This window comes from Homo sapiens, chromosome 6 (genome assembly GCF_000001405.40).
Source record: "Homo sapiens chromosome 6, GRCh38.p14 Primary Assembly".
Lineage (NCBI taxonomy): Eukaryota > Metazoa > Chordata > Mammalia > Primates > Hominidae > Homo > Homo sapiens.
In genome coordinates, this window is record NC_000006.12 from 104,137,415 (window position 1) to 104,146,699 (window position 9,285).

Here is a 9,285-nt window from a genome sequence, read left to right on the forward strand (position 1 = left end):
TCCAGCCTAAATGATGGGCATGTAGGTTGATTCCATGTCTTTGCTATTGTGAGTAGTGTTGCCATGAACATACATGTGCATGTGTCTTTGTAATAGAATGATTTATATTCCTTTGGGTATATATCCAGTAGTAGGATTTCTGGGTCGAATGGTATTTCAGTCTTTAGGCCTTGAGGAATCGCCACACTGTCTTTCACAATGGTTGAACTAATTTACACTCCCACAACAGTGTGTAAGCATTTCTTTTTCTCCACAATCTTGCCAGAATCTGTTATGTTTTGACTTTTTAGTAACAGACATTCTGAATGGTGTGAGATGGTATCTCACTGTGGTTTTGATTTGTATTTCTCTAATGATCAGTGATGAGCTTTTTTTCATATGATTGTTGGTCACATTATTTCTTACTTTGAAAAGTGTCTTTTCATGTCCTTTGCCCACTTTTTATGGGGTTTTTTCTTGTAAATTTGTATAAGTTCCCTATAGATGCTGAATATTTGACTTTTGTCAGATGCATAGTTTGCAAAAATTTTCTCACATTCTGTAGGTTGTATGTTTACTCTGTTGATAGTTCTTTTGCTGTGCAAAAGCTCTTCATTTTAATTAGATACCATTTGTCAATGTTTGCTTTTGTTGCAATTGCTTTTTGCTTCTTCATCATGAAATCTTTGCCCATGCCATGTCCTGAATGGCATTGCCTAGGTTGTCTTCCAAGGTTTTCTTAGTTTGGGTTTTACATTTAAGTCTTTAATCCATTGTATTACTGTGTTCTCACACTGTGTATTAGTCTGTTTTCATGCTGCTTATAAGGACATACCTGATACTGAGTAATTTATAAATACAAAGAGGTTTAATGGACTCACAGCTCCATATGGCTGGGGAAGCCTCACAATCATGGTAGAAGGCAAAAGGCACATCTTACATGGTGGCAGACAAGAGAGAGTTTGTGCAGAGAAACTCCCTTTTATAAAACCATCAGATCTTATGAGACTTATTCACTATCACAAGAACAGCACAGGAAAGTTCTGCCCCCATGATTCAATTACCTCCCACTGGGTCCCTCCCATGAACATGGGAATTGTGGGAGCTATAATTTAAGATGAGATTTGAGTGGAGACACAGCCAAATCATATCACACTGCTCTAAATAACTACCTGACACTGGGTAATTTATGAAGAAAAAAGGTTTAATTTACTCAACGTTCTGCAGGCTTTACAGGAAGTATGACTGGGACGCCTCAGAAAACTTACAATCATGGTGGAAGGCGACAGAGGAGCAAGCATATCTTACTATGGTGGAGCAGGAAAGAGAGAAAAGGGGGAGATTCTATACATTTTTAAATGATTAAATCTTGTGAGAACTCACTCAGCATCACAAGAACAGCAAGGGGAAAATCCACCTCCATGATTCAATCACCTCCTACCAGGCCCCTCCTCCAACGTGCCATAAGATTTGGGTGGGGACACAAATTCAAACCATATCATTCTGCCCCTGGCCTCTCCAAAATCTCATGTCCTTTTCCATTTCAAAACCAGTCATGCCTTCCCAACAGTCACCAAGGTCTTAACTCATTCCAGCATTAACTCAAAAATTCCCAAGTCTCATCTGAGACAAAACAAGCCCTTCCACCTATGAGCTGGTAAAATAAAAAACAAGGTAGTTATTTCCAAGATACAATGGGGGTGTAAAAGGAAAATATCTTGAGCACCCCAAATCACTAAGCTAAAAGTAAAATTCAAACTGGAAATTCCTCGGGGCAAACCTGCCTCCTATTCTATTCAAAGTCATCCCCTGCTCACTATGATAGATGCATATTCTAATTGCCTCCATTGGAAAGCCTTATCAGAAACTCAAAATAATGCAACCATTTGTCTCTCACCTATCTGTGACCTGTGACCTGGAAACCCCCTCCCTGCTTCGAGTTGTCCCCGTCTTTCTGGACAGAACCAATGTACTTCTTACATATAGATGAGATTGATGTCTCATGTCTCCCTAAAATGTCTACAACCAAGCTGTGCCCCAACCACCTTGCACATGTTGTCAGGACTTCCTGATGCTGTGTCATGGATGCGTGTCCTCAATCTTGGTAAAATATACTTTCTAAATTAACTGAGATCTGTCTCAGATTTTGAGTTTACAAGGGTTCAGGCATTGCATGCTTGCATTCCAAATGGGAGAAATTGGCCAAAACAAAGGGGCTACAGGCCCCTTGCAGATCTGAAACCCATCAGGGCAGCCATTAAGTCTTAAAGCTCCAAAATCTACTCTGACTTCCTGTGTCACATCCAGTCAACAGTGATGCAAGGTGCATGCTCCCAAGGCCTTGGGCAGCTCTAACCCTGTGGCTTTGCAGGGTACACCACCATTGGCTGCTTTCAGGAGCTGGTATTGAATGTCTGCAGTTTTTCCAGACACACAGTGTAAGCAGTCAATGGATACAGCATTCTGGAGTCTGGGGGATGGTGGCCCTCTTCTCATAGCTCCACTAGGCCGTGCCCCAGTGGGGACTCTCTGTGGGGGTTCCAACCAACCCTACATTTCCCCTCTGAACTGCCCTAGTAGAGGTTCTCCATGAAAGTTCCATCCCTGCAGCAGTCTTCTGCCTAGACTTCCAGCCATTTCCATATATCCTCTAAAATCTAGGCAGAAGCTCCCAAACCTCAGCTCTTGCCTTCTGTGCACCTGCAGGCCCAACACCACATGGAAATTTCCATTTCCATATATCCTCTGATATCTAGGCAGAGGCTCCCAAACCTCAGCTTCTTGCCTTCTGTGGACCCGCAGGCCCAACACCACTTGGAAGCTTCCAAGGTAGGGCTTGCACCCTCTGAAACAATGGCCTGATCTGTAACTTGGTCCCTTTTAGACCTGTCTGGAGCTGGAGCAGCCGGGGTGCAAGGTGCCATGTACCAAGGCTGCACAGAGCAGTGGGGCTCTGAGTCCAGCCCAGGAAACCATTTTTCCCTCCTATGCCTCCAGGCCTGCGATGGGAGGTGCTGCTATGAAGATCCCTGAAGTGTCTTGCAGATTTTTTTCCCCATTGTCTTTGCTATTAATATTTGGGTCCTCTTTGCTTATGTAAATTTCAGCAGCTGGCTTGAATTTATCCTCCGGAAATGGGTTTTCTTTTCTACCTCATGGTCAGGCTACAAATTCTCCTAACATTTATGCTCTGCCTCCCTTTTAAATATAAGTTCTAATTTCAGACCATCTCTTTCTTCACACATGAGTGTACACTTTTACAAACATCCAGGTCAAATCTTGAGTGCTTTTCTGCTTAGAAATTTCTTCTGCCAGATACCTTAAACCATCTCTCTGAAGTTCAAATTTCCACAGATCTCTAGGGCCATCAGAGATCTGGTGGGAACTGGAGTAAAGGTCACTTGTGCTATGCTTTAGCAACTGCCACCACTCTCTTTGCAAAAGCGTAGCACAAGTGACCTTTACCGTAGTTCCCAATAAGTTTCTCCTCTCCATCTGAGATCACCTCAACTTGGACTTCACTGTCCAAATCACTTTGAACATTTTGGTCAAAACCATTCAACAAGTCTCTAGGAAGTTCCAAACTTTCCCACATCTTCCTCTTTTTCAGAGCCTTTCAAAATGTTCCAACCTCTGCCCATAACTCAGTTCCAAAGTCATTTCCACATTTTCAGGTATCTTTATAGCAGTGCCCCATTCTCAGGACCAATTTTCTATATTGGTTTGTTCTTACACTGCTATAAACAACTACCTTGAGACTGGGTAATTTATAAAGAAAAGAGGTTTTATTGACTCGCAGTTTTGCAGGCTTAACAAGAAGTATGACTGGGAGACCTCAGGAATCTTACAATCATGGCAGAAGGTGAGGGGCCAGCAAGCATGTCTTACCATGGCAGAGGAGAGGAAGAGCAGAGTGGGAGATGTCACACACTTTTAAACCATCAGATCTCATGAGAATTCACTATCATGAGAACGGCAAGGGGGAAATCTGTCCCCATGATCTAATCACCTCCCACCAGGCCCTTCTTCCAATTTGACATGAGATTTGGGTGGGAGTACAAATCCAAACCACATTATCCATCTTAATTTTTGTATATGGTGTAAGGAAGGAGTCCATTTCTGCATATAGCTAGTCAGTTATCCCAGCACCATTTATTGAATAGGGACCCTTTCCCCACTGCTTCTTTTTGTCAGGTTTGTCAAAGATCAGATAGTTGTAGGTGTGTGGTCTAATTTCTGGGTTCTATAGAGTGTTCCACTGGTCTATCTGTCTGTTTTTGTACCAGTACCACACTATTTTGGTTTCTGTAACCTGACTTCAAACTATACTACAGGGCAACATTATGCCTCTGGCTTTGTTCTTTTTGTCTAGGATGAACTTGGCTATTTGGGCTCTTTTTGTTAACTAGATATTGCTATTTTAAAAAATAAAAGTTTTGAAAACTCTGAAGTAGTTTTTTTTTTTTGAGACAGTCTTACTCTGTCACCCTGTGTGGAGTACAGTGATGTGATGATGGCTCACTGAAGCCTCTGACCTCCCGAGCTCATGTGATTCTCCTGCCTCAGTCTCCTGAATAACTGGAACTACAGATGTGTGCCACCATGCCCAGCTAATTTTTAAATTATTTTTTTGTAGAGACAAGGTCTTGCTATGTTGTTCAGGCTGATCTTGAACTTCTGGCCTCAAGCCATCCTTCTGCATTAGCCTCCCAAAGTGCTGGGATTATAGGCATGAGCCACTGCACTCTCCTAAAGTAGTAGTATTTTCATTATTTGTCATAGAAAGAAAAAAAGGAGATAGATGAGAAGCAGAGATGTCATTAGAATAAACCTGATATCCCGAGCATAATTCTACTTATTCCACTGCATAGGATTTAAGAAGAAAACTTTAATAACATAAATAAGAACTGTGTACTTTAAACCAAAACTAACATTATACTCAGTAACAAAACAATAGAAACATTCTCATTAACATTAGGAACTTGCTATTATCATATTTTAAATGGCTCTGAAATCCTGTGGCAGTTCAGTAAAACAAGAAGAAGAAATAAAATGTATGGATCTCAAAAAGCATAAACTATTTCCATTATTTATATAAAACATGTATATGTATTTAGAACATTAATTATATATATCTAGAAATCCCAAGGAAATCAAGTGAAAAAATATTTTAGCATTAATAAAGCACTCCTGTATATATGATGCAAATGAGCTATTAATAATTTCCCTTTATAATCCTAACAAAGTACAAAATATTGTGGAAAAACATTCCAGTCAACATATCAATATAAACTATAAAATACCCACAAATAATCTTTGAAAAAATGTGTGGGGCCTATCTATTCTTAAATAACATGAGATAGCATATCACAATCCTACACATGCAGATTATTTTGATCATTCAATTTTTCCTATATTAATTCATAGAATTAATAATCTCCAGTCCAAAATGTATTTGAAATTTAACAAGGTGATCCTAAATTTCATTTGGAGGAAATCAAGACTGATGTTAAAAAGAAAATGTGAAAAGACGATTAAAAATGAGATGGTCATGGACATTCTAGATATAAAAATACACTATGAATAATTGATAAAATATTGTCTTTGTCCTGGGATTGAACTATAACTTCTTCCTCCCTCCCCACAAAATACAACATTTCCACATATTTAGCAGCATAAATATTAAACGAAAGAGAAAACAAAAATCTAAGCAAGAAAGAAAAATTGTTTATTATATGGTGATAGCAATATAAAGTTATTATTTAAGGAAAAGAATATATTGCTTCATGTCATGCTCCAAATTATATCCTAGATTGTCATTAAATTCAAACTTCACAAAAAATTAAAATACATTATAGTTGAATATCTAATATAAGAGTGTAAATAGACTTTCTAAGCATAAAGGTATGAAAGAAAGCACAAGGAAAAATTCAATAGATGTGGTTATATAATATTTTTAATCTTTTTTACCTCTTCAAGTAAGAAACTTTGAAACATCATTTGCCCAAATATGGTAGACAAAGTTTACTGTTCTTATTATGTGAAGAGCTCATACAAATGATACTCAACCACAAAATCCCCAAAAGAATAAGTGGCAATAGGCATGAAAAGAAAATTTATAGAAGTAACTTAAATGTTTGATAAATATTAAATATTTTGGTCTCAATAATAAAAGAGAAGCAAATTGATATGATAAACTACGATATTTTACTTATCAAAATTAACAAAGCTTTACTTAAGTACTATTATTTAATATCAGAAAGCCTAATGTAGCATTTGTCCTCTTATACACTGATAGAAGGTTTTTATTGCCAGATATTTTGGGGGGAAATGACTGGATAGCATTCATTTATATATTTATGTGCTGAGAACTAGTACTTGCATTTCTAATCCACTAAGTAAATTATACATTCAGACACAATTGTATGCTATTTACAGTAGCTCTTTTACCACATTTTGCTGCATAACAAATTACCACAAATTTAGCAGCTTTGTAACACCTGTTTAATAGCTCACAGTTCTGTAGGTCAGAGTCCTGGCATGATGTGCCCGGATCCTCTGCCCAAGGTTGAAATCAAGGTGTTCTCAAGGCTGCACGCTTTTCTGGAAGCCCTGTGAACAAATCCACTTCCAAGCTCAGTCATGTTGCTGGTACAATGCAATTCCTTGCAGTTAGAGAGCAGTCCCTTTACCTTGCTGGCTGCCCCCAGAACCAGGCAGCTTCTAGAGGCCCTGTCCATCTTCGAAGCTTGCATGAGTGCACAGAAACCTTCATGGGCTTTTAATCTCTGTGATTTCCCCTTCTGCCACCAGCCAAAGTAAACTCTACACCTAAAGGGGCTCATGTGATTAGAATAGGCCCACCTGGACAATCTTATCTTAAAGTCAGCTGTGCCATATACATAACAAATTCCTGCAAATGGTATCACATCATCTTCACAGGTTCCAACAATTTTGGTCAAGGAGACTTGGGGGGCCACTTAGAGTTCTGCTTGACATAGACATAGTGCATTATTTTTATTAGTAAAATTTAGGAAACAAGTTGGTTCATAACACTGGAATACTCAAACCATGATCTATCTATATTTTAGAATATTAGAAAGCCATAAAAGCTGATGCCTTCAAACAATAATTATTACCTGGAGAATGTACTCAAAATATAATGTTAAATTGAAAAGAAGAAACAAACTTCCTAAAATACATAAAATTAAGATGCTACAATCAAATATATATATGTGTATATATATATGTGTGTGTGTGTGTATATATAGAGAGAGACTTATTGGCTATTTTTAGAATCTAATAAAAGTTATACATCTTTTCCCAAAGAAAACATAGGTATACACAGAAGATTGAATATAAAGTAGATTGTCCACAGGGTCCCTAGAGATTCCAGGTTAAGAACCCATAACTAATTATATGTGTCTCTAAAGGTAATATTAAAGGCAATACAGTCTCTTATGTTCACTTTAATAATCAGGTATTGTAGACAGCACCCCACTCTGTGTTCCTGCAGGCAGTCTTTTATCTTATTCTTATCACTCAGTATTTCTGGAAATCACCAGGGAAGGCTTCCAAGTCTACTTTCATTGTCCTTTGCTACCTCTTGCTCTAGACTTCTGATCTAAGCTTCTTGGTACCTGGTAACCATTTTTTGGGTGCACAATTAAAGCTGCCTTCAAATGTAATGAGCCACAGATGCAAACACAGCCTCCTTCTTGCATTCCTTGAAAGCTCAGTTAACCTAGGCCATAGAGTCTGACTAAATTGTATAAAAGACTAGATAATGTAAATATGCTACAAAGCAAAACACAAAACTCTGAGGTTGTCAGATGCCTCTCTTCCTCAAGCTATTGGCCATGTACCTATTCAGGGCATCCCAGACATAACATCTCACAGGTCTTCTTGCTCCTGAACTTGGCCTGCAAACATGTCCAAGGGGTCCTCTTATTTCTCAGAAAGGAGTCTCTTTAGTCCTGTCTTCGTTCTTCTAGTGCTATAGGAGTTAAGAAGAAATCACTTAGGCAGATAGTAGGGGTATGGGAGTCCTTGGTAAGGCTTTTCTTTTTAATGAAAAGCAGCCCCAAATCATTTTCTAACAAAGAGTAGCCTGTAAAGTCGAGCTGCAGACATAAGCAAGCTGGAAGCTTGCACAGTGAATGCCGGCAGGAACTAGGGACTAGGCATGTTCAAGATGGGGGCTCCATCTTCCCTTCTCTGCCCTCCACGTGTGTAGTAAGGAGCAGACAAGATGGCCCTAGCCAAGGGTAGAATTTGTTTGCATAAGATTAGGGTTGGGGGACCATCCTTCCCCAAATGCTACCTAAACAACACACCTGATGGAACCAATCTGTGAGCCCTATGTAAATCAGACACCACCTCCTCAAGCCGGACTACAAAATCCGGTGCATCCACTGCCGGCTGGTCTTTCCACTTGGAAATCCCCTCTCTCAACAGAGAGCTGTTGTTCTTTCTCTTCTTCTGCCTATTAAACCTCCACTCCTAAGCTCCTCATGTGTGTCCGTGTCCTAAATTTTCCTGGCACCAGATGACTAACCCTAGGTACATACCCCAGACAACATAGCCACTTCACTAGGAACTAGCATACTACTTGGCCCTCCCTAGAAGCATTCCTCTTCTCTTCCAATTCAAGATTCATTTCCTTTTCTCTTGTCCCACGTCCTGAACAACATGGCACACTATTTAACTTTTTAAAAGAATATAGCCAGGATGAGACAGGGAGTCAACAGTGAACTTTCCAAACTCTTGGCTATTCAGTTGGTTAGATGTGCCATTCAGGGGACGCTGTCCAGTGGTTGTAGCTCTATACCCAAGCTGGTTGTTGTCCTGTTGGTAGTCTCTAACCTTGTCAAGGTAAGGGGAATATAGGTTGTTCTGTCTTTCCTGATAGGCCAGGCTTACAACATGCTTTGAGCACACCCTTCCTAAAAACAAGCAGTATTTCTTAGACAGTCACTATTAATCACATTTAGAAAAAATTTCTACAAATAATCTGCTAAAATATATTAATCCAACATGTAATACTAAGCAAATAACAGCACAGTCTCAAGCCTTTCATTTGGACTATTTAACTTGCTTACAACATTCACTGGAAAAAGGGAGGCCTAATTAAGGAAAACCTGAATTATACAGTCCTGACTAAAAGTACCCCACAGAAATGTTTCTTTCAGAGCAAAGACAGGGCCTAACCCAAACTTTAGTTTCCACTATACAGAACAAAACATGTGTGAGAAATCAATACTTCATCATTAGCAACAGTAAAAACATACTGACAACTTCAAAGTA